Raw genomic sequence first — 27,461 nt, forward strand, 5'->3', positions numbered from 1 at the left:
ATTTATTTGTAACCCCAAAATGTGCCCAAAACTTGTGGCACTTTCACAGTCACAGAGTGGTGAAAAATTTGAGTCACCCAATCAATGCGCACATTCCCAGCTGAGACCTAACAAGGTAATGCCCTGTCTTCCTGCTTCAGCTCTCATACTGTAAACAATGTCCTTTTTATGGACCATTTAGTGCCATGTTTTCAAAACTTTTAGTTAGATGTGGGCTTAATTCATTTATTCATTTGACATATATTTAATTGGCTTTCAATGGCTGTTAAATCATTATCTGTCAGAAAATGTCTTGTTCACCAACTTGTAATATTAATACTAATCAGCCTATAAATGCAAATTTTTTAACCTTATCATCATCCAGAGAGCCTCAAAAAGATATTCCCCTCCCACCACCATCAAGCTGAAGGATGCTTTCTTTCATTTTCATAGTAGAGAGTTTAGTATATTAAAATACTTAATGCTAGCTGCAATTGGGATATTTATGAAGTTCCCATCTTTTATATTTTTCAGTTCTTTTTTTTTTTTTTTTTGAGGCAGGGTCTAATGTTGTCACCCAGGCTGGAGTGCAGTGGCACAATTATGGCTCACTGCAGCCTTGACCTCTGGGGCTCAAGCAATCCTGCCACGTCAGCCTCTTGAGTAGCTGGAACTACAGGCACACACCACCACACCTGGCTTATACATTTATTTATAGAGACAGGGTCTCCATACGTTGCCCAGGCTGGTCTCGAACTCCTAAGTTCTAGTGATCCTTCCACCTCAGCCTCCCAAAGTGCTGGAATTACAGGCGTGAGCCACCTTGCCTGGCCAGTGAGTTATTTTCAATCAATTTAACTAAAATGTTATTATTTTATCAGAGGGATTTTTAAGAAGAAAGCAGTCATTGATGAACCTTTCTGCCACTAATCATAAGACTTTTTTTCACTTCAAAGGAACTCCAAGAGCTTTCCATTATAAAGATTAAGCAATTGAGGGAAAACGTATTACTTTAGCAAAGAAATTTCTTTAGAAGTTGATATGGTTTGGCTGTGTCCCCACCCAAATCTCATCTTGAATTGTAGTTCCCATAATCCCCACGTGTTCATGGGAGGGACCCAGTGGGAGGTAATTGAATCATGGGAGTGGTTACCCCCATGCTGCTGTTCTCGTGATAGTGAGTGAGTTCTCACAGGATCTGATGGTTTTATAAGGGGCTCTTCTCCCTTTGCTTGGCACTTCTAACTGCTGCTGCCTTGTGAAGAAGGACATGTTTGCTTCCCCTTCTACCTTCCACCATGATTGTGTGTTTGCTTCCCCTTCCCTTTCCACCATGACTGTATGTTTCCTGAAGCCTTCCCAGCCATGCAGAACTAATTGAGAGTCAATTAAACCGCTTTCCTTTATAAATTACCCAGTCTTGGGTTTGTCTTTATTAGCAGCATGAGAATGGACTAATACAGAAGTATATACATCAGCAGAGACATACATAAACATATTATATCATACACATTCATTACCTGCTCAAATTGTTACCCTTTTCTTCTTAGCAGTAGTTCAGTATTGTTCACATAATCTCCTCCACATGTCTGTGTTCTTGGGAAAGACAATTCTATCACCAGCCCCAGTAGTTTGGAAATTGAACCACTTTAGCCAATGATGATTATTTCATCCCCTCTGCTTGGGAAAAGTCATGTGATCCAACTCTGGCCAAAGAACCCTGAGTCTGTTGTGATAACTTCTAAGAAAAATTTTCCAGATGAAAAGAGACACGTGGAAAAAATACGTCTCTGAATGTGGGGTTAAGTGAGCCAGTGGTGCCAGGAGATGTCTAAGCCATCTTGCAGCTATAGCAGTTTAAGCATGAGGACAAAAGGCAATGCCCTGAGGAAATATATTAAAAATCTAGGTATATGATGCCACCATCTAATGACCGAATTAACCAACCTACAGAGGAAATTGTATCTGCAGCTTATTGCTTTCAGCATTTAAGACATTTTGGGTTGAGTCTTCTATAACTTGGAGTCATAAGCATCTTAATATGAACCACCATTAGGAAGTTTATTATTTCATACTTCATCATGTGTAAGATACACATATTTGTACATTTTAATATCTCTAAAAAGGAAATGCATCTTACAATTGATGGCACCTCAGCTTCAATGAACTAAAAAATTATTTCTATGAAAAGTTTAATATTCAACATTAAGATATGCAAAAGCATTATGTTAAGCAAAGGTATCCTGATGACATTCTAAGGTATCTAGTCATTGGTAGAACCTAGGGCATTCAGTATTAATCTGATACAAAACGAAGTAATGCATCACCCGTTAGATTAGTTACAAAAATGACTATGGAGTGTGAACTGTAATCGTGGACTCAAGATCAAACAGTCAAGATTATAAAATCTTTTGATTCTCCTCAAATATATTGTTACATATGGTTAGCATTCTTTCCACTAGAAAAAAAAAGGTATTTGCTTTGAAAATACATAGTCATGTCAAAGCCACAATGAGATACCATCTCACGCCAGTTAGAATGGCGATCATTGAAAAGTCAAGAAACAACAGATGCTGGAGAGGATGTAGACAAATAGGAACACTTTTACACTGTTGGTGGGAGTTGCAAATTAACTCAACCATTGTGGAAGAGTGTGGCGATTCCTCAAGGATATAGAACCAGAAATACCATTTGATCCAGCAATCCCATTACTGGGTATATGCCCAAAGGATTATAAATCATTCTACTATAAAGACACATGCACACATATGTTTATTTGAGGCAATGACTTAGAACCAACCCAAATGCCCATTAGTGATAGACTGGATAAAGAAAATGTGGCACATATATACCATGGAATACTATGCAGCCATAAAAAAGGATGTTCATGTCCTTTGCAGGGACATGGATGAAGCTGGAAACCATCATTCTCAGCAAACTTACAAAAGAACAGAAAACCAAACACCGCATATTCTCACCCATAAGTGGGAGTTGAACAATGAGAACACATGGGCACAGGGAGGGGAACATCACACACCAGGGCTTGTCAGGGAGTGGGGGGCAAGGTGAGGGATAGCATTAGGAGAAATACCTAATGTAGATGACGGGTTGATGGGTGCACCAAACCACCATGGCACATGTGTACCTATGTAACAAACCTGCACGTTCTGTGCATATATCCCAGAACTTAAAGTATAATAATTAACAAAAAAGAAAACACATAGTCATTTCTGATTAATTGAACATAAATTCAATTGAATGGCAACTGTGAATATTGTGTAGCAGGATGTTTTCACTGGACATAAGGGATGTATTTAATATATGAACTCAACATTTTAGGCAGGATAAAAATGCAGACAAGTAACTATAACACATGGCCATGTTTAGTCATGGTATTAACTGCTACCAGAACACCAATGTAGTAAAAATGGATACTTTTCTAGGGTATTGGGAAGTCTTAAAGTAGAGGAATCATCTGATCTCAGTTTTGAAGGGTGCATATAATTTAGACAAGTCAAGATTCAATGGGCTAAGAATATTCCGAACAAAATCATAGAATCTGCAATGGCCAGAGTATTTTCCAGAAACAGGCCTCAAACCAAGATGTTAAAAATGTTAAAATGATGGGAAATAGAGTTGACAGGTAAGGAAGTTTAGATGCATTTTCACCACCAACTTCTTTCTCTCAGGTTTTCTGGAAAGACATGTTGATGAAATTCTAATCTTAGACCCCCGGAGATTGAAATCCCTCATAAGCAAGAACTGACCTTCAGCTTTCTTTAATAGGCTTCCTTACAGTTTTCCAAAGTAACTTAGGACAGCATGGTGAAGAACAGGAAAGGAAATTGTAGCTAAACACTCATAGGAACTTCAGTTAAAATGAAACTCAAAACAGTTCATCTATGTTACATGCCAGCACTGTGCTAAGCATTTTACATATTTTAGCTAATGTTCAAAGCAACTTTGTGACAGACATGAGCGTTTTATTTGTGAGAAAGCTGAGTTTAAGTACCTTGCCCAAGGTCAAACAACTAGTTAACAAGAGCTAGAATTTTACTACAGTCTAACTCCCAAATTTAAATTTATATCCACTATATTATATGACTACCAATCACTTTTCAAGTACTGATTTAAATAGGTGGGATTAGCTCTTTGGTTTGCCATGTGAAAGGAGGGATTTGGAGGCATTATTTTCTTTTAGTTTATTTGTTCTTTTTGCAAAGTTATTTCTGCTTTAGAATGCTATTTGCATCAAACCATATGAAGAATGCTCATGAGGAGCATCCAGTATTTATAACTAGGAAATAAGCTATAATTAACTACTTTATGGAAAAAATAACTGAATAGCTGTCTAAAGATTGGTCAATTCTAACTGATCAACTGGCTAGTGATTTTTCTATCAGCCTAAAGTATTTACTATTCCCTTGTGTCAAATTTCATTCCATAAAGAATAGAGGGCTAGGCCTAACTGGAGAATAAATCTCAGGCATGCATCATGAGAAATATAGATTTTATTTTATCTTCTACAAATAACTTGTCATGGAGGTGCCTGGAACTTCAGAAAAAAATTGGAGTTCTACAGACTAAAGTGCAGGTAAATTGGAAAAGTATAAACCCTTCCCTCTTTTTCTTTCAAACAATTTAAAATCCAAGTCATGTGCTTTTTGATTTTTAAAAAAATATAGACCAGTCTGCAACTCCAAATGCCACAAAATGCCATAGAAATAAAAATGGATGGCTAACCTTTGAGGAAGTACTAACATGGCCACAATAATTCTGACCTTCACCAGTTCAGTACTTTGATAACAGCTTTGTCATTCATTTATTTGGAGTACTTTTAAATATTATGTAATGGGCTAAAAAATTTTCTTGACCAAGCAGTATTTAATGGAGCAATACAAACAGGTATGTGTCCTATAAGATGATTATTTGATTAGTAAAATAAAAATTTTGAAAAGGCCGACTGTCAGAAGAAGAAATTGGATATAAAACACTAAACCAAATCAACCCACACCCTGATATTTATTTTCACATTCAGAAGGGAAAATCCGCTAATATCCAATTATTTATTTTCCATGTCAAAGGAGAGCTTTAGATTCGTGTTACAATTAACCGTATGGCATGATTCGTTGCAAACTATACTTTCTCTGCAATTTACTTGTAATTAATTTTCTTCTTTTTAATCTTTGGAAACTGGCTTTTGTTTCTGTCCCCCCCTTTAATTTATGTAATGATTGTCCATTGACTGCAGAATTATATTTGGGTGTGGCACATTAAAATGAGGCTGGAGTAATGTGTGTAGAGATATTTGTAATGTCTGCTTTCTACTTGAAGCTAGGTCATATAAATTAGAAACCATCCTAGATGACAGAAAAATCAATGACTAGGCCATATATATATATATATATATATATATATATATATATATATATATGACCTAAGCCACAGCAATATTTGCTGAAAACTCCAAAACAATTTCACTTTGAAGGGAACAATTTTCAGCTCAACTGAAAGTACAGCAAAAGGGTTAGGAAAAAGAAAAAGAGAAGGTGATTTGAAAAGAAACATGAAGTTGGTCATGAGCAGAATAAAAACTATTTAAGTAAATACCATATTTATTTTTTGGTGTTAAAGTGACAGTGGACCTTAGCCATATCAAGATTTTTTAAATTTTAAATTAAATAATACGTTTATAAATAATAAAATCATACTGAAATCTCGAATTCTAATCCAAACCCATATAGATCTTCTTTGCCTTCCTCCATTAAATATGTGTATCTTCTTTATCTCACAGTAAGAAGCTTTGCACTCAACAATATCAATGTATTTACTCATTTGCTCCATCTTACAATATAGGACAACAAACCTACCAAGTAAAAGTCAAAATTGCTTTATGATTCCATGTCAAGAATTTGGGTGTCTGGATAACGTATTTTGAGGCTGAAAATGTTGCCAAACAGGCAGATTTCATCAGAAATAGATCTGGAGAGAACATACAGTTCTTTTTAGTTCCTGATTCATTCTCTTATCCAAAGACCCAGAAAAAAAACCAAAACAGGGAAATATATTTTTCCCTCTTAGTGGTTTTGGACTGTTTGCTATCTTTCTGTTAATATCAATTTAATGAAGAAAGTTAAACATTGAAAAAATATAATATGGTTATTTATTCCTATGTCTCTGTACATGTAGTATTAAATATTCTGTAAGATGCTAATAGGAAAATTTCACAACCAAATACATATAGTAAATATTCAATTAAGCATCTTTATAGTCACAGCAGAGACTCTTGGGATTCTTAACATATTAACATTCTAATAAGGTGGAGGAGAGAGTGGAAATGGGTACAAAGTCTCTTGATCCTAAAACTCTTTACTCAGGTAGTTTTCTTCAAAACACAAAGCAATTATCACAGTGTATGTTTTCACATTTACACAGTGATTTCATTAATATCTGCCTAGATGAATGCTCCAGGAAGGCAAGGGCTAAGTGTATTTTTCCTCATCATTTTATTTCCAGTGCCCAGCATAGTGCACTTTGGTCTAATTGCAATTTGGGGTCACCAGGGCTCAGGTCTCCATAATTCAAGTTTATCTAATCTATAATGTGTGTGTATGTGTGTGTCAGTTTTTTTATAATGTTTGCTTTTTAAAATATATTGTCCTGTGAATTTTAACAGACCTATACAGCTGTGTAGGCATCACTACAATCAAGATGTAGAATATTTCCATTACACTGAAAAGTTTTCTTATGCTCCTTTATAATCAGTCTCAACACTTCTCCCCTTTGTCCCCTCCAGACAATCAACTGATACCTGATTTCTGTCTCTATCAGTTTGCCTTTTCTGGAATGACATGTAAATTGAATCATGCAATATATAACTTTTTGAGTCTGGCATATTTCTTCTAGCATTATGCATTTGAGATTCATCCACGTTGCTGCATGTATCTGCAGTTTATTCCTTTTTATTGCTAGTAGTATGCCCTTGTATGAATGTACCACAATTTGTTTTTCCCTTTTCTACTTGATGACATTTGAAATGTTGCGAGATTTTTGCAATAAGGAATAAAGCTGCTATAAATATTTGTGTACAGGTTTTATGTGAACTTATATCTTTTTTTATTTTGGGTAAAGACCTGGGAGTGGAACAACTGGGTCATATGAGAAGTGTATGCTAAATTTTTAAAATATTAAACTACCAAATCATTTTCTGATGTGGCTGTACCCATTTGTGTTCCCACCAGCCATATGTGAAAGTTCTAGTTGTTCTACATCCTTGCCAGCATTTGCTATTGTCAGACTTTTTAACCCATTATGAGTATTCATATGAATATATGACACATGCTAATAGGTGTGTGGTGGTATCTCATTGTGATTTGAATTTGCATTCCTCTGCTGACTGATAATTTTGAATGACGTTTGATGTGCTTATTTTCTACCTGCCTCAATTCTTTGATGAAGTGTCCATTTTACTTTGTTGCCCATTTAAAAAAATTTGGATTATTGTTTTATTATTATTGCAATTTGAGATTTCTTTACATATTCTGGTGAAAAGTCCTTTGTCATATATATGTTTTGCAAATACTTTTTCCCAGTCTGTGGCCTGTCTTTTCATTTTCTTAACAGTGTACATTGTGTTTTTGACCCCAAATGACTTTTTTAGCCTATTGTTCCGTTGTGAATTGGAGAGAATAAACTAAGACCCTTTATACATGGAAGTGGCCTTTGTGTATCAGTATACATTATGCTTTCACTTTAATTCCATTTAAGGTCTATGAGAGTAAACTTTTAGGAGACAGAGTTGAGATGATTGCATCTACAGTCATTCTTCCTATTTCGAAACATGGCTTGTAGTACCATTCAATAAAAACTCAGATTGTATATCTAACCTCTACCCAAATCATAGATGGATATGTGGCCAATCTTTTAAGATACAAACTTTGAAGATGAACCTACCTGGCCTCCCGGCTTCACCTTGATCCTCAGCCACCAGTAGGATTTCTGTAGAGTGGTAAAAATAAAAGATAAGCAAGCTAGTGGATTTAATAATTCTCATTTTTAAATCAGTGGTCTGAGTATAAATCATTGTGAGACTTCACTCAAATTCTCTTGTGTCTCTAATATCACTGAACTAGGTAAAGATAACAAAAAAGTGGAGGGTGGAGGCATGGGCCTGGGGATAAATTCTCTAAACTTTATGGGACTTCGGGAGCAAGCTGTCAGGCTTCCATCTTCATTGTATTAACTGTAAGCAGTAAAGGCCTATATTTTGCTAAAAATATATATATTCAATGGAGTGAGGTGGTGATATGTCATATGATAAATTTTATAAGTTTCAGATTTATTAGTGTGGGAAATTTTATTTGTTCTGTGGAAGTTACTTGCATAGGGCACATGGTATAGAAGAAAATGCGCCAGAATCTAGCAATCTAGGTCAAGGTCACTAGTATCTACCATTAATATTTGGAGCCTACCATAAATTGGACATAAGGGAAGTAGAAATAACCTCTCTGAGTTATATTGTATAGCCAACAGAGGACGGATTGGAGCAGAGGTATGTAATGATTCCTTAGACAGGCAAAATGGCTTTTCAGATATTGTTTTCCAGTAACAATATTGAATATCAGCATACCTAATCAACCAGAAGAGAAAATCGGTGATCTCGTAATGTCTAAGAGATAGGTACATTTTAAGAGAGGAGCTTTGGTGTAAAAGTCCCATTGGCAAGGCCAGAACTTTTCTGAACAGGGATGAACTGGACATATTTGGCCTGAAGTTATTAAACTTTGGAATCATTTAAATAATTTTCCCTTGTTTTAATTTTGACGTCAGCCTATGGGCAGATAATTTATTCATCACATAGATGAGAGTTCCAGCGCACACAACTGTTTTATTTCTCATCATGAATTAATAAATATACACTCCATTCTCATACATGAATTAAGTTAACATGAGCTCATCCTAAAAAAGGTCCTCTATGGATTCATTCTCTTCTGTCATAATTTTATTGCTCTAACTATATAATATCCTCTGAACCTCTGAACCATTGTTTTATTAACATTTTTCTTTAAATTAACTCACTCCTTTTTTAAACTGAGCCTCAGATTAAAGATTAATATCTGAGGTCAGTGAACTAGTTATGTTATTTCCCTAAGACGCATTAGAATAAATTACTACAGAAATAAAAATTTTTTGTGCATGGATCAAAAATTACCTTGCATGCCACACTTTGTAAACACTGCTTTATACCTTGGCAGATTTACAAATGTAATGCCACCCTGTGAGAAGCCAGCTGACCTTTTGTGGTGACACCAGCTCATTAAGTGCTTTTTGCATTTGAAAATTATGTACTAAATAATTACATGACTAACCATATCACACAATTGGTCTCTCTGGGCATTTTTTTCTTGGTATGTAAAATTAAGTATTTTCCAACTCTAAATGTTATGACACTAGACAAAACTATATGTGACATACATAGAAAGAACAAGAAAGAGAACACAGACAATATTTGACCTTAGAGAATTGAATTGACCTCTCTAACCTCCATGTTCTTATCAGTAAAATAGGTGTACTAGTATAATTAGCATCTCTGGGTTGTTGTAAGGATTAAATGAGATTAGATACACAAAATACACTTACCACAATGCATTAAATGTAGGCATATTGGTTAGTTATGCAGAAGATGAGGGAGTAGAGGAACAAGTTAAATGACATCCTGAGGAAACAACCAAACAGGGTTGATCTCTTCATAAAGTCAGTGTCATCCTTAAAAAATGTATGAAGAAGCTCATTGTTCTAGATTATGAGAGATTGTAAAAACTTGACATCCAGATTCAAGATGTCATCATTAATTAAATACAAGTTCTACAGAAATCAATTGATGACAATTGTGAAATAATTGGAGACATTTTGGTAGTCACTGGGTATTATTAATTATTGTTATATTTGACAATTATTGTTAATTTTTTAGATACAGAAATGGCTGTACAAGATGATATTCTTGGTTTTAAGCAGTAAGTGCTGAAGGATTTTGGAGTGAAGTGTCATGATATCTGCAGTTTACATTGAAATTATTCAGCAAAAAAAAAAGCTAGATAGATAATTGAAAGATGGAATCATCAAATAGGGCAAAATGTTGATAATTTTAATCAAGACAGGGTGTATGGGTGCTTATTGTACCAAACTTTGTAATTTTCTGTATATTTGAAAATTATCATAATACAGACTTTGAAAGAATGATCCAAATGCATTGATAGGGAACAGATTCCAAGAAATACTGTAGAACAAATATACCAAAATGCCAAGGAGTGTACAGAATAGTCCCATTGTGTACAACTTTCTTGCTCCTTATTTCTCTCCTTCATTCCTGCCTTCTTTCCTTTTCTTCCTATTTTCAAAGAATGAAAAAGAAACTATCAACCATCATTTATTTTTCAGAAGAGGAACTAGGATTGGGGGTAAAAAAAAGGGGGGGGAATTTTACTTTTCACTTAACTTTGCTCAATATTATTTGAATTTTTTACCATATTCATATGTTGCTTTAACTCTTTTTTAATGTTTAAATAAAAGTCACAACCAAATATTTTTAAGTTAATTATTATTAGCTATTTAGCCAAAATTATTAGTGTTTCTCTGAATGAGACTCTTCTTTTGAATAAACAGGGCATCATGTTCTGAAACCAATGATTCTGTGCAGAGTGCCTGCTGAAGATGCTGATTTGACCATAAGGAAAACAAGGGTTGATCAGGACAAAACACCTGGAGAAGAGAAAAGTTTGCCATACACACCTGCCATTCACATGAATAGAAGACATATTCAGATACCTGCTCTTTAGATTCTACAATTTGCCCTTTTAAAAACTCTAGATTAATGTTAGAGCTTTCTAAGATTTTTGTCTAGCAGGATAACCCAATAGATAAGTATTTTTATGGTTTTCTGGTGGAAACTGGAAAACCTGCTAGACAAATTCTAAAAGAGGCCTAATACTAATCTGGATTTAAAAATTTTTTTTACTAATCTGGGTTCTTAATTAATTAATTAAAGTACAGATTGTTTAAATAGTCATGTTCACCCTCATAATGTAATTTTAAAATTTTTTATTGGAATATATTTTTCTTAGTTGTCTTAGTTGAATAGTAGTTTTTTAGAATAGGATAACTACAAATACTAGCTTTCTTTCCTCTCTCTCTCTCTCACCTACCTCTCCTTTTCTTTTCTTTTTTTTTTTTTTTTTTTACTTAATCTCTTTTTTTATTATTAATATACTTTAAGTTCCGGGATACATGTGCAGAATGTGCAGGTTTGTTACATAGGTATACCCGTACCATGCTGGTTTGCTGCACCCATCAACTCAGCTACATTAGGTATTTCTCCTAATGCTATCCCTCCCCTACCCCCCACCCACTGACAGGCCCCGGTGTGTGATGTTCCCTACCCTGTGTCCATGTGTTCTCATTGTTCAACTCCCACTTATGAGTGAGAACATGTGGTGTTCGGTTTTCTCTTCCCGTGTTAGTTTGCTGAGAATGATGGTTTCCAGCTTCATCCATGTCCCTGCAAAGGACATGAACTCATCCTTTTTTATGGCTGCATAGTATTCCGTGGCATATATGTGCCACATTTTCTTTATCTAGTCTATCATTGATGGGCATTTGGGTTGGTTCCAAGTCTTTGCTATTGTGAATAGTGCTGCAGTAAACATACTTTTGCATGTGTCTTTATAATAGAATGATTTATAATCCTTCAGGTATATACCCAGTGATGGGATTGCTGAGTCAAATGGTATTTCTAGTTCTAGATCCTTGAGGAATAGCCACACTGTCTTCCACAATGGTTGAACTAATTTACACTCCCACCAACATTGCAAAAGTGTTCCTATTTCTCAACATCCTCTCTGGCATCTGTTGTTTCCAGACTTTTTAATGATTGCCATTCTAACTGGCATGAGATGGTGTCTCATTGTGGTTTTGATTTGCATTTCCCTAATGACCAGTGAGAATAAGTTTTTTTTTCATATGTTTGTTGGCTGCATAAATGTCTTCTTCTGAGAAGTGTCTGTTTATATCCTTTGCCCACTTTTTAAAGGATTCGTTTGTTTTTTTCTTGTGAATTTTTTTAAGTTCCTTGTAGATTCTGGATATTAGCCCTTTGTGAGATGGACAGATTGCAAAAATTTTCTCCCATTCTGTAGGTTGCCTGTTCACTCTGATGATAGTTTCTTTTGCTGTGCAGAAGCTCTCTAGTTTAATTAGATCCCATTTGTCAATTTTGGCTTTTGTTGCCATTGCTTTTGGTGTTTTAGTCATGAATTCTTTGCCCATGCCTATGTCCTGAATGGTATTGCCTAGGTTTTCTTCTAGGGGTTTTATGGTTTTAAGGCTTACATTTAAGTCTTTAATCCATCTTGAGTTAATTTTTGTATAAGGTGTAAGGAAGGGGTCCGGTTTCAGTTTTCTGCATATGGCTAGCCAGTTTTCCCAACACCATTTATTAAATAGGGAATCCTTTCCCCATTGTTTGAAAATGATGGAGAGAATGGAACCAAGTTGGAAAACAGTGTTCAGGATATTATCCAGGAGAACTTCCCCAATCTAGCAAGACTGGCCAACATTCAAATTCAGAAAATACAGAGAACACCACAAAGATAATCCTTGAGAAGAGCAACCTCAAGACACATAATTGTCAGATTCACTGAGGTTGAAATGAAGGAAAAAATGTTAAGGGCAGCCAGAGAGAAAGGTTGGATTACCCACAAAGGGAACCGCCCATCAGACTTGTAAATGGGCTAAATGCCCCAAATAAAAGACACAGACTGGCAACTTGGATAAAGAGTCAAGACCTTTGAATGTGCTGTATTCAGGAGACCCATCTCACATACAAAGATACACAAAGGCTAAAAATAAAGAAATGGAGGAATATTTACCAAGCAAATGGAAAGAAAAAAAAAATAGCAACAACAAAAAAAAACCAGGGGTTGCAATCCTAGTCTCTCATAAAACACACTTTAAACCAACAAAGATCAAGAAAGACAAAGAAGGGTATTTACATAATGGTAAAGGGATCAATTCAACAAGAAGAGCTAACTATCCTAAATATATATGCACCCAATACAGGAGCACCCAGATTCATAAAGCAAGTTCTTAGAGACCTACAAAGAGACTTAGACTCCCACACAATAATCACAATAATAGTGGGAGACTTTAATGCCCCACTGTCAATATTAGACAGAACGACAAGACAGAAAATTAACAAGGATATTCAGGACTTGAACTCAGCTCTGGACCAAGCAGACCTAATAGACATCTACAGAACTCTCCACCTCAGATGAACAGAATATACATTCTTCTCAGCACCACATCACAATTATTCTAAAATTGATCACATAATTGGAAGTAAAACACTCCTCACCAAATGCAAAAGAATGGAAATCATAACAAACGGTTTCTCAGACCACAGTGCAATCAAATTAGAACTCAGGATTAAGAAATTCATTCAAAACCACACAACTACATGGAAACTGAACAACCTGCTCCTGAATGACTACTGGCTAAATAAATAACGAAATTAAGGCAGAAATAAATAAATTCTTTGAAACCAATGAGAACAAATACACAACATAGCAGAATCTCTGGGACACAGCTAAAGCAGTGTTTAGAGGGAAGTTTATATCACTAAATGCCCACAGGAGAAAGCAGGAAGGATCTAAAATCAACACCCTAACATCACAATTACAAGAACTAGAGAAGCAAGAGCAAACACATTCAAAAGCTAGCAGAAGGCAAGAAATAACTAAGATCAGACCAGAACTGAAGGAGATAGAGACACGAAAAACCCTTCAAAAAATCAATGAATCCAGGAGCTGGTTTTTTGAAAAGTTCAACAAAATTGATAGACCGCTAACCAGAAGAATAAAGAAGAAAAGAGAGAAGAATCAAATAGACACAATAAAAAATGATAAAAGGGATATCACAACTGATCCCACAGAAATACAAACTACTATCAGAGAATGCTATAAACACATCAATGCAAGTAAACTAGAAAATCTAGAAGAAACTTATAAATTCCTGGACATATACATCCTTCCAAGACTAAACCAGGAAAAAGTCAAATCCCTGAATAGACCAATTACAAGTTCTGAAATTGGGGCAGCAATTAATAGCCTACCAACCAAAAAAAAATCCCAGGTCCAGATGGATTCACAGCCTAATTCTACCAAAGGTACAAAGAGGAGCTGGTACCATTCCTTCTGAAACTATTCCAATCAACAGTAAAAGAGGGAATCCTCCCTAACTCATTTTATGAGGCCAGCATCCTGATACCAAAACCTGGCAGAGACACAACAAAAAAAGAAAATTTCAGGCCAGTGTCCCTGAGGAACATCAATGCAAAAATCCTGTATAAAATACTGGCAAACTGAATCCAACAGCACATCAAAAAGCTTATCTACCATGATCAAATTGGCTTCATCCCTGGGATGCAGGGTTGGTTCAACATATGCAAATCAATAAACGTAATCCATCACATAAACAGAACCAATGACAAAAACCACATGATTATCTCAATAGATGCAGAAAAGTTCTTGGATAAAATTCAACACCCCCTTTATGCTAAAAACTGTCAATAAACTAGGTATTGATGGAACGTATCTCAAAAAATAAGAGCTATTTATGACAAACGCACAGTCAATATCATACTGAATGCGCAAAAGCTGGAAGCATCCCCTTTGAAAACCGGCACAAGACAACGATGCCCTCTCTCACTACTCCTGTTCAAAACAGTATTGGAAGTTCTGGCCAGGGCAATCAGGCAAGAGAAGGAAATAAAGCGTATTCAAATAGAAAGAAAGGAAGTCAAATTGTCTCTGTTTGCAGACGACATGATTGTATATTTAAAAAACCCTATTGTCTCAGCCCGAAATCTCCTTAAGCTGATAAGCAACTTCAGCAGTCTCAGGATACAAAATCAATGTGCAAAAATCACAAGCATTCCTATACGCCAATAACAGACAGAGAGCCAAATCATGAGTGAACTCCCATTGACAATTGCTACAAAAAGAATAAAGTACCTAAGAATACAACTTAAAAAGGGATGTGAAGGACCTCTTTAAGGAGAACTACAAACCACTACTCAAGGAAATAAGAGAGGACACAAACAAATGGAAAAAATTTCATGCTCATGGATAGGAAGAATCAATATTGTGAAAACGGCCATACTGACCAAAGTAATTTATAAATTCAATGCTATCCCTATCAAGCTACCACTGACTTTCTTCACAGAATTAGAAAAAACTACTTTAAATTTCATATGGAACCAAAAGACTCCATATAGCCAAGACAATCCTAAGCAAAAAGAACAAAGCTGGAGGCATCACGCTACCTGACTTCAAACTATACTACAAGGCTACAGCAACCAAAACAGCATGGTACTGGTACCAAAACAGATGTAGACCAATGGAACAGAACAGAGGCTTCAGAAATAATGCCACCCATCTATAACCATCTGATCTTTGACAAACCCGACAAAAACCTACCTCATCTTTTCTAAAGAGATTAAAAAAGAAATTGAACTGAACTAAGTAATGAGCACAGTAAAAGCAACTTTGTCAGCAGCTGAGGAGATTAAGACTCTCAGAGCAATATTAACTTTAACCATCACTGGTTCTACTCCTGCCTGGCAGGTGAGCATGGCAGGGCAGGAGCAGAGCACCTCTGATAATGGTGAAATAAAGGGGATTAGTTTACCCCCACCTAGAAATTCAAAAGACCCTCTCTTCACCAAGCTGAAGATATGCTCTGTAAGAAGGTAGGTACTCAGACACTTCTACACTGTTGGTAGGAGTGTAAATTAGTTCAACCATTGTGGAAGACAGTGTGGTAATTCCTCAAGGATCTATAACTAGAAATACCATTTGACCCAGCCATCCCATTACTGGGTATAAACCCAAAGGATTATAAATCATTCTGCTATAAAGACACATGCACACATATGTTTATTGCAGCACTACTCACAATAGCAAAGGCTTGGAACCAACCCAAATGCCCATCAATGATAGACTGGATAAAGAAAATGTGACATATATACACCATGGAATACTATGCAGTCATAAAAAAGGATACGTTCATGTCTTTTGCAGGGACATGGATGAAGCTGGAAACCATCATTCTCAGCAAACTATCACAAGAACAGAAAGCCAAACACCGCATGTTCTCACTCATAAGTGGGAGTTGAACAATGAGAACACATGGACACTGGGAGAGGAACATCACACACTGGGGCCTGTCAGTGGGTGGGGGGCTATGGGAGGGAAAGCATTAGGAGAAATACCTAATGTAGGTGATGGGTTGATGGGTGCAGCAAACCAACATGGCATGTGTATACCTATGTAACAAAACTGGACATTGTTCTGCACAAGTATCCCAGAACTTAAAGTATAATAATAATAAAAAAAAATAGAAGGTAGGTACTCAGTAGTATGCCCTTATGGCTGCTCCCAGCTACCCTGATTAGTTAGTGCCCATGCTATTCCAGTTTGTTAGATATTTTGGCTCTCACCCATGTCTGCAGGAATATGTATGGGGAGCAAATTCAGACACCAACTCCTGTTCTGAATCAAGATGGATTTCTGTTGCTTTCACTTCGACTTTGTGGTGCACGTATGTGGTGCTTAAGTGAAATAGAAGGGCTTGAAATCACTCTGCTACTCTTTAGGAGACTAAAACATCATGGGGATTCTTCTGTCACCAATGTTCTGACGGCCGCAGCACCAGCACCGTTATACTAATGCCCAGAGAAGTCAGATGCCTCTACCTGTTTTTTTTGTTGATACATAATATTTTTACGTATTTATGGGGCACATATGATATTTTGTTACATGCATAGAACATGTCATGATCAAGTCAGAGTATTTGCAGTATCCATCACCCTCAAGTACTTCTCATTTGTATGTGTTGGGAAGGTTTTAAGTCCTCTTTTCTAGCTATTTTGAAATATACAATACATTGTTGTTAACTGTAGTCACTCTACTCTGCTATTGAACATTAGAATGTATTCCTTCCAACTATATGCTTGTACTCATTAAGCAACCTCTCTTAATCCCCACTTCCATCCTCACACCCTTTCTAGTATTTGGTTACTGCCATTCCACCCTCTGCCTTATATGATCAATTTTTTCAGCTTCCACATACAAGTGAAAACATGCAGTATTTGTCTTTTTGGGCCTGGCTTATTTCAGTTAGTATAATGACAATCCATGTTGCTGCAAATGGCATGATTCCACTCTTTTTTTTTTTTCTTTTCTTTTGGATACATCCACTATTGACTCATTCCTTGTTTGTATGCCTCACCTCTCTGAAGTCTCTGCCCATAGTTGCTGGGCCAATAATAGAAACAAATTACAGAATACATCAATAGTAGTGGCTATAGTGAACAAAGCAGGAAGTCAGAATCAGCAAAGCTGCTTCCTTTGTCAACATTTGGCAAGTATTTGTCATGCACAGAACACTATATAATACTTCTTTGGATATAGAATAAGACCAATAAGTGGCATATTTGAAAATTCTAGCCCTGTAGATCTGCTATTGAAGTGAGCTCATGAATAGAGCAACCCAATGAATTTTAGTTAATCAATTTGAAAATTAAGCTCAGAGATCCATAATTTCATGAATATTTCAGTAAAGTTTAACTAAAATGTGTTTTAGGCTATTGTATGATATTGAAACATTTTCACCGTGAAGCAGCACTGCTAAAACAAACTAGCATTGGCATGGCAGTCATATTTCATAAATGAAAACACAGTTTAATGATATGACATTGTATGAACTTAAAAGAAAACTGATTTTTCAATGATCTTGTTTAAAGCAAGCTTTAATGCCCTTTGGCTTTCCATAGTCAGCAGTCTGCCGTGTTTCATGTGTCACTGTACCACGCAGTGAGATTTGTGTTTGAAACTTCTTAAGTCAGAGAGAGGGAACTAAAAGAGAGAACACATACTCCAGTGACTCTAAGGAATGATCTGGTTGTTAGAGCTCAGAATAGGAAATTTTACCCAACATGCAAAATGTTAGTGATATAGGAACTGACACTTTCACTTTTTGGAACAATAAATTTGATAATAACACTGGATCTATTAAGTTGTACAATTCTATTGTGTTTTTGTGCCTTCATTAAAAAAGAGGGGGTTAGGCTATATTCATGGTAAATAAGAAAAAATTTAAATAGAATCTTATTGATGGTTTTCAAGTCTTTCTTGAATATCAAACTTTTAGTGTTAATAGAGTCCATTAATACAGTAAGAAGAGCACCAATCTGGGATTCTAGTTGCAACCCTGACATTGATTAGCTGTGTAAACTTGGGCAAATTACTTTTCTGGTCCTTAATTTCCTGGTTTACCAATTCTGTCCCATCATTCTGTGCTTGTATTTTTTAATTCCATTGGCCTGCCTATGATGAGAGCAAGGAGTATGCTTAGTTAATACTTTCACAAGTTTGAACTTCTAATTAAGATGTAAGTTGTACATATGCTCAAAAATGATTAGAGGTAAAAAGTAGCCATAGGAGCTCAAATAAAAAGTATGCCTGTAATCTCCCCTTCTGGAACATACATTGTCTCCGGAAGAAATAAAGATAGAAAGTTACACATTATAAACCAGCATGGGTCGTTAAGACATAGAAAGTTACATAGTGTAAGCTATGATGGATCATTGTAAAATCCAGCCTAAGAAATGTCATGTTGCAAATTTGACTATTTCCACAGTACCCTCCTAGATGTCTGATACCTGGTTTGCCTGTGATTTGAGAATTAATCTACATTTTAGTAATGAGTTTGTATTCTTAATCTAAATGTTGAAGCTTACAGAAGTCATTTATTTTTTAAATATCCAGTAACCTGCAAAGATTCTTCAGTCCAAGCAGAAACACATTAAGGAAAGAAAGCCCATTCTTTTGGGTAACTCCTTCATAACTGTTATTCATAGTAAATTTTTTAGTAAATTGAAATTCTATATACCTTAATTTAATCCAGAAGCTTTATATTAGTGATTACTGGAGACTTAGATAGACAGAGATACAGAGATGGACAATATTATGGCAAATCAGCTCCCTTCTAACATATACTCATGCAAATAAAGTAACCTTGAAGCACCAATACACTAAATTTTTTTTTCTTTTGGTCTATCTGTGTGTAAATGATGTATCATTCCACAGATCCAGACAACAAAGCAGTCTGCTGCCATTGTTGATCAAAAGAAATAATTAAGTTGACATCCAAATCATTGAAGTATTAACTGGCCCCTGCATATGGTTAGCACCTCAATTCCATACTTCCTTGATGTCAAATCCCAAAGACCCTACCAGGAGGAATGATGTCACTTGTGAAAGTGGATCACAGAAAATTTCTTTTGAGGTTATCTGGGACACATTGTAATTTGAGATGCTAAGAAAATTATTTTAAGATTAAATGATGGATTTGAATATTATTTGTCAGCACTGCTACAGGCAATAGTTTTGTATAATATGATGTTCCAAATAACATCTCTGTAGATAACATTCCTTTGATCTAAGCAGTATGTTGTGAGATGTGCCAAGCAGTTATAAAATATTTACTGACTATAGAAGATACTTTTTTTCCCTTAGAAAAAAAATTGATCTTGCATCCTCCCACTTCTATGAATGCTGCCTAAGGCTGTCACCTCAACTATTGCCTCAGAATTGGGAAAGTGTGAGCAGTGTAACACATTGTTCACCTTAACAGTAGTCCTCAGAGCCACCCCCATGCAATGGAGTTTTCCTTAGAGCACAGAGTTTTTCAGACAGATCTGTTGTAAATATTAATAACAGGTTACATATGTTTTTTCTTCTCTACTCTCATGAAAGGCCTTGGAATATATTTTTTTCTCTTACGGCTTTTATTTTTAAACTATCAGCTGCCTTGCTATCTAAAATTTTAATAAACTATGTCAAAAAGTCTTTAATTCACTTGTTTTACTGTAAGTTTGATTTTTTTTTCCCCCTCAGAATCAACCCTCTGCATTAGCTGAGTAGATATTGTGCAGACCAGAAGTCTGCCATCGGACCAGGTATATCCCATAGCCTTGTTTATTTTACACTGAATAGTATTATTAAAAACATTGAATTGGATGCCAGCACTCTAAAAAATGAGGCATATTTCGCAGGAAAATTCTTGACTTCTGGCTTTTCTTTATTATGCCCCAGTCTTCTTATTCCAAAGCTTAAAACTGACTCATGGTGCTCATTTCCATTGCAGCCTGGTCTCTGTAGGCTTTTGAGCTTTGGACTTTCAATCTAGACAGACAGAGCTATCATCCCATAAATGAACATTCGGATAAATTGTTGACTTAACATTTCATAAAATTTTATATATTGAGCTCAACAATGGTCTGAATATCCTTGGGACGTTATACTTGACCTTTCTATCTATTCAAAGCCTACCTATCTATAAAAGCATCTCAAAATGAATCTCTTCCGTTAACCTCTTCCTAATCCTACACCTAGTAAACAGTAATTGAGAAATTTGGGTGAGAGCTAAAATATAGAGGTTAAGAAATACAAAGTATGCTGTCAAAGTGCTTATGGTTCAGCAGGAAAGACAGTTATCAGAAATAATAATTACAATTATCAGCACTATTTTAATAACCTCTATCTATGTGGAATATTCTAAGTGCTAGGCATAGTAATGTTTTACATGTCTATACCTGATATCTGTACTTTCTCACTTCCCATTTTCCCTTCAAACCACTTCATTCACTCCAAGTGCTTCACTGCTCTACTGAAACAGCTCTGTTGAAGGCCATCAACGTTATCCATCTTCCTAAATCCAGTAGTCAGACTTCATGACCAGGGGCAAGTTATTAATATTTCCTGCCACAGTTTTCTCATCTCTAAAACTGTGACTAGAACATTACTGACCATATGGGTATTGTGCACAGTAAATGGGATAATCTGTATAAACTCTTAAAACAATGTTTTGCAGCTAATACAGGTATAACACATGTTAGCTGCTATTATTTTTATTACACAATCACTGCTTATTTTTGCAGTGGCATTTGACACAGTTGGGCATTCCATTCTTCTTAAAGCGCTGTCTTTTCTTGGCTTGCCTTCCATGACATTACAGTCTCCTGGTTCCCCTGTAATGGGACTGGCCTTGGTTTTCTCTGCTGGCTCCTTCTCTTGTCAGCCCTGCAAATGTTGGCGTGCTCAAGGACTCAGTGGTGGGACCCCTTCTCTTTCCTGTCTACTCTTTCTCCATAGTAATCATAGATTTAAGTGCCATCTGTGCTCTTATGACTATTCAACTTGTATCTCCATCCTTGACTTTTCCTAAGTTTTAGGCTTGCATAGCCAAGTGCCTTCTCAACATATCTATCAGGCATCCTTCATTGGAACTCCTAGTTTCCCTCACACATCTGTTCCTTCTATTTTGACTCTTTCTCCAGAGGTTCTGTTCTCCATGAAATAGCACAATGATTGTTTCTAAGTTTCAAATCACTCAGTCCATCTCTGTTGGTTGACAGATAGCTGTGAGCACCATCATCCCTTTGGTTGTGTGATGGCTGATTACTCTCACTGCAGACTTGGGGAGACAGAGCTCAACAGCCATCACAGTTTTCAACTACTCCCTGGGTTTATCACTTGCTTCTCAAATTCTAGAATGAAAAAGGGTGATAATCAAATATTTTTCACCATCGGGGGGTCCAGTCAGGGATTTTATTTTGCCCTAGAAGATAGTTAACCTAAAGCTATATCTTAGTTTGTATTCATGTGCCGTAAAACCAGCCAGTATAAAAAGTAAAAATTTTGGACTATAAAACCAGTTGTTTTGTCCATGTTCAATGGACTGATTAGTTGAAATAATTTTATTTTCTGATTGCCTTCTTGGATTAGTGCTGTGTAACTACAATCTATCAGAAGAAAAATCATCTCAAACTTGTCCTCTTGAGAGCTCCATTCAAATCTCTGCTCAAATGTCACCCTATTAGGAAAGGTCCTGACCTGATCTGACATTGATCTTAAAAAACATTTTATGCTGGGCGCAGTGGCTCATGCCTATAATCCCAGCACTTTGGCACTTCATCTCTCTATACTCACTCAGGAGAGGAGCAAGGCTAAATATAGCCTATAACCTGCCTTATTTTTCTTCTCATATATTATATATTTACTTGTTGAGTTGTTGTGGTGGTTGTTGTTGATATCTGTCTCCCTCTTCAGGAGTGTAAACTTTGCAAGAAGAGGGACTTCATATTTTGTGCTCCTATTTTATTCCCAGCACTTAAAACATTGGCTAATATAATATTAGGCATCCAATAAATAGAAATTTATAAGTGAATGAATCCTATTAATGTGTAAAATGTATAAAAATGTATATTTTTATACTTTCAGAGGACTCATCCTGCATTATTTCAACAAAAAAACTAAGACCATAGTTATGTGTAAGGATGTAAAGAACCTGCCAATTATAAAGTTGCTTGGAGCTGCAGCTTACTTCGTAAGAATTTTAAAAACATATAACAATGGAGTAGGTTAACTTTTATGAAGATAATTCTTCATATAAGTAAGATAAGCTTTGTGCACATACCATCTATGAAATTCTGTTACAAAGAAAAGATAAAACGTATACATTAAATCTGTGTTTGAGTTTACCTACATTAAGAATGAGACATTCAGAGCCTTCTTTTACTCTTTGTTGATGATTCAAGTATTTTTGGGATATTATCTCTTTGTGTATATGCTGAAATTGATCATGTTATAAGTGGCATTTAATAATACATTTTGGGATTGGATCAAAAGCCATCACAACTGTGGTTTACATCATCGATCCATTGGCATTGCTGGCCAGAGAGGTGCACTGGCATGACTTGGGATCTGATGCCACCTTGTCATGTTAAGTGGTAGGGGAAAGAAAAGAAAAAATGTGAAACCAAAGTAGTCTATGAAGAATTGGAGTAATCATAGAAGACTTGAATTTGGGATGCTGACCCAGACCACTGATAATACAAAAGGAGAGGAAAAGAAAAAAGCAAAAATCCCAAATGATTCAAAACATGCCACAACCTCTTTTCCCATAGTCATCATGCTAAATGGGAGAGGTCTCCATACACCCAGCCCTCCTAGAATTAACACATTCTTCCTAAAATCTTCCCTTTTATGAAGTTTGTTTAAACTGAACAGTATCTGTTTACAAATGTATAAGGTGTGGGTAAACTGGCAGTATGATTTATATAGGTTGGCGAACCTCAGACACCATAGGCAGACTGGTCTGTGGGAGCAGTAATACTCCTGATTATTATCATACAAGTTATTTATGGGGACAGCTCTTTTTGCCAAGTGAACCAGAGAACTGAAGAAGCTGTTTGGAATTGTCTTGTCTTTACCTCTCTCTGTCTTTCATGTTTAGACAGTGTCAATGTCTGTAAATTGGGTGGGATTAGCAGTGCAGACAAGAGAAGAGGAGCAAAATACAACCCAAAATTAAAAAGTAAAGTAAGATAAAAGAGCACAAAATAACCATAAGAGTTCAGTTTTCACAGTTTTAAGGAGGTGTTTAGAATTGTTAGAAATAATTATTTTTTAACATGATAGTTATTAGTTTCCATACTGGCAGAAGTGGATACTCATTGGAAGGGCAGTTTTGGAGTAAATGGTCAAAAGTCAGAGTAGGGTCTAAAGCAAGAACACAGATGAATGTGTTTAACTAAGGTGTTCTGGATGAGAGAAGGCAAGTTCTTACCAGTAGAAAACAAACAAAAAAACCTCATTATATCTTTAAAAAATGGGAAGGGACAATTTCCTGGAAGACTTGAAAGGAGCACTACCATTTATTTGACTGACATAATTTTCCAGTAAAAAGCCCTGAAAACCCTGTACCCAGAGTAGCTAAAGGAAACATTTTTCAAGCTCACCTATTGAATTGATCTTAAAAAACATTTTACGCAGGGCACAGTGGCTCACGCCTGTAATCCCAGCACTTTGGTAGGCTAAGGCGGGTGGATCACGAGGTCAGGAGATCGAGACCATCCTGGCCAACACGGTGAAACCCCATCTCTACTAAAAATACAAAAAATTAGCCAGGCATGGTGGTGGGGGCCTGTAGTCCCAGCTACTCGGGAGGCTGAGGCAGGAGAATGGCTTGAACCCGGGAGGCGGAGCTTGCAGTGAGCCAAGATCGCACCACTGCACTCCAGCCTGGGTGACAGAGTGAGACTCTGTCTTAAAAAAAAAAAAAAAAAAAAAAAAAGAATTTACTGGCTTTTATTCTGGCTAATACATTCCTAATAGATTTTCTTTTGCACTTCCAAACAGGAGCCCTCTTTCCAGAATTTGCCATATTGTTATCTAAGCTTAGCACCATTCAGACTCAGAGCCATGTTGATCTAAAGTGCTTAATTGCAACTGAATATTTACTGGAAAAAGTCTGAAACTTCACTTTCAGAATATTTTTCAATATATTTCCCATTTATTCTGAGTACAGCACCATAGAGAGTACTAGGTCAAGAGCTTTCTTTATCTTCACCATAATCCACCCCTCTTGTTATCTTCAAAGCAAAACTCATAGTGAGGCCGGCAAGAGTAAGGGTGCTGACTTTTGAATGGACTCAGCCGTCCACCATTGCTCAGTAAAGGATGCCTGCAGAATTGACCACCAAATGCTGCCCAACCTGATTTATTTTTTACAGCCCCTCCAGATCTTTTCTAGCAATACTTTTATGAAACAAGAATTACTCTAATGGAAGATAATTTTTAAATTTCTTGGCAATATTAAATTCTTCTCCAAAAAGTCATTAATAGCTTTTTGGAGGAGCAGGGTGATGCAGACAAGATAAAATATTTAACTATCAAATTATGAACACAGAAAGGTAAAGCTGTGGACATTATCAGAAATCAAAAGCACTGGTTGACTGAAGACTAAATTGTCAACACATCTCATGACACTTCACTGGTTTTAGAAGTGTTTACACTTGTTCTACCCTTGGCCACTGCCAATAATTTTTTTTTTTTTTTTTTTTTTTTTTGAGATGGAGTCTCACTCTGTCACCCAGGCTGGAAATGGAATGCAGTGGCATGACTTCAGCTCACTGCAACCTCTGCCTCCCAGGTTCAAGCAATTCTCCTGCCTCAACCTCCTGAGTAGGCGGGATTACAGGCATGAGCCACCATGCCTGGCTCATTTCTTTTGTATTTTTAGTAGAGATGAGGTTTCACCACGTTGGTCAGGCTGGTCTCGAACTCCTGACCTGAAATGATCTGCCTGCCTTGGCCTCCCAAAGTGCTGGGATCACAGGTGTAAGCCACCACACCCGGCCCAATAAAAATGTGTACTTGGGGTGGGAGTGGGTGATTGCGGTGTTTGTAAAATGTCTGTGTGAGTTTACCGTAAGGAGAATGGCTTCAAAAGCTATAAATGGAAATGCAGAAGTGACTTCTGAGTAAATTGTGTCAGCCTGAATACCCTTTCCTGGTGTACAGTTTTCTATACCTTTTCTGAAATCACAGAATATTAAGTTGAAAGAAAGCATAGAGATGATCTCTTTTGACCCCTCTTTTTATGGGCATCTGAGGTTTGGTGCGAAGAAGTGATTTGGTACAAATTAAATTTCCTGAGGATAAATCAGGAAAGACAACTACAAGCTCAAAAAGCATTACCACAGACCTAGTAAAAATGTGGGAGCTGTTCTAAGTGAACCAGCAGGTTGGGTAAAGGAAGATAAGGCCTCCTTGATTTAGCCTTCCAGGTCACTCATGGGTAGGACCCAGGGTTTCTGCCAAACTCCCCTCTTTCTAAGTCATCCAGATCAGAAAGCAGTTCTTTCCTTGCGTGAAGGGAGCGAGAGAGAACTATTTTACTATTACCCTGTTCCTCTTCCTTCTCCTAGTGCCTGCCCACCTCAGATCCTCTTTGTCCAACTCACCAATGTAGTTGCTTACATAGCTGAAACTACCTTTTTGTGAGTTGCTGTCTTTTGCTCTGTTTGACCCCACCTGCCATCACAGGATCTTCTAATGATACTTGTAGTCACAGCAGTGGAAAATCAGATACTTGTAAAAATGCATCTAGCAAACAAAGCTGAATTGGCACAGTTCTGAAACCATTTATTCCCTGAGGGTGAGTAAGGACCCACTCCCCCTTGTGAGAAGAAAAAGAAATAAAAACTGACAAGAAGAGAAAGTAATGGCCCGACAAATGATTGGTCAGCAATTATTTGTTAGTGAAATGCACCATTTTTGTGACAATAAATTTTGAAAGTGGGTGTCTATTATTGTAAGATTTGTATAGGGCTTTTTTATTTGCAGCATTTATAAGATTTTAATCTAAATGTATTTTTTTTCTTCTCTTGAAAAAGTTCTCTTGCTGTGCTGCTGGGTCCTCAGAAGTGTTCTGGAGATCGCCTCTTTGAAAGCGTAAGTGTAAAGTTTATTTGGCTTACTGTAGTTTCTTATTTTGGTTGCTTTTGATCCTCAGTGGTCTCATCTCACCTTCCATACTAGAAAATTGCCTTTATTAGAATAGAGAAATCACCTGCAAGAAAAGCCAGCTTAAAAATTAGACATGAACCTTCTCAAGTATATTTAATGTACATCTCAGAAAGGAAGTGGCCATGTTCCCCATGAAGGTATCCACACAGCTTACACAATGAGGCTAGTAGGGACCCCAGATGCATGTATGCACAAATTTTCCTGAAAATCCAACTCGACTATTTACTTTTGAGTTTATACTTGACTTGGCTTATATTTCTTACAGCACCAAGCTGAGCATGAACAGGAAAGGGAAGCCCTGAGGGGTATACTTCCCTCAAAGCAGCAGCTTACATGCTGTGTGGTACCCTGTAACAGCATTTCTCTCATCCCATAAGTCTTTGTTTCTTCATCCTTCTGTAGAAATAGACAAATGCAAGAGGAAAGGCAGAATCCTTCCATGAAATAATGATGCAATATGCCGACTAATTTTTCCAGAGTATCCTTAACATTTGAAACCCTTAGAAAGAGTACTAGAGGTGGTCAAACAATGACTTTCAAATCTGTATTTTCTGACCTGGATTCTCTCTTTACTTCCTGTTCTGAATGTCTTCCCTAAAGGAAATCATTAAGATATGCATCTGGGCTCTCAAACTCAGAATGTCCAAGTGGACTTATTGTTCATGCCACAGATCTAGTTCTTTTTCCCAGTCACTCAATTTTTTTATAGAGTTTCTGCTCTCCTTTTATTTTTCTTTCTTTATTTTTTAAATTTTATGGGTACATGGTGGTTGTATGTATTTATGGGGTACATGAGATGTTTTGATTCTGGCATGCAATGTGAAATAAGCACATCATGAAGAATGGGGTTTCCATCTCCTCAAGCATTTATCCTTTGAGCTATAAACAACCTAATTTCGCTCTTTAAGTTATTCTAAAATGTACAATTATCTACTCTCCTTTTAGTTTCTCATCTTACAAACCTTTGAATCATGATGAATTTTTCAACTCTAA

The 27,461-nt window shown here is 36.5% G+C and overlaps 1 protein-coding gene and 1 pseudogene across 3 annotated transcripts in view; one reads left to right on the forward strand and one right to left on the reverse strand.

The window, feature by feature from the left end:
• The window catches only part of B3GALT1 (beta-1,3-galactosyltransferase 1), a 581,045-nt gene that overhangs the window by 327,573 nt on the left and 226,011 nt on the right, over nucleotides 1-27,461 (forward strand). For all 3 annotated transcript variants that reach the window (XM_011512085.3, NM_020981.4, XM_047446159.1), the window contains one exon: nucleotides 26,336-26,393. The gene's annotated coding sequence lies outside the window, so the exon portion shown is untranslated. The remainder of the gene's footprint in view (nucleotides 1-26,335; nucleotides 26,394-27,461) is intronic.
• Nucleotides 10,907-10,968, reverse strand: RNU7-148P (RNA, U7 small nuclear 148 pseudogene; annotated as a pseudogene).

This window comes from Homo sapiens, chromosome 2 (assembly GCF_000001405.40).
Source record: "Homo sapiens chromosome 2, GRCh38.p14 Primary Assembly".
In the NCBI taxonomy this organism is placed as follows: domain Eukaryota; kingdom Metazoa; phylum Chordata; class Mammalia; order Primates; family Hominidae; genus Homo; species Homo sapiens.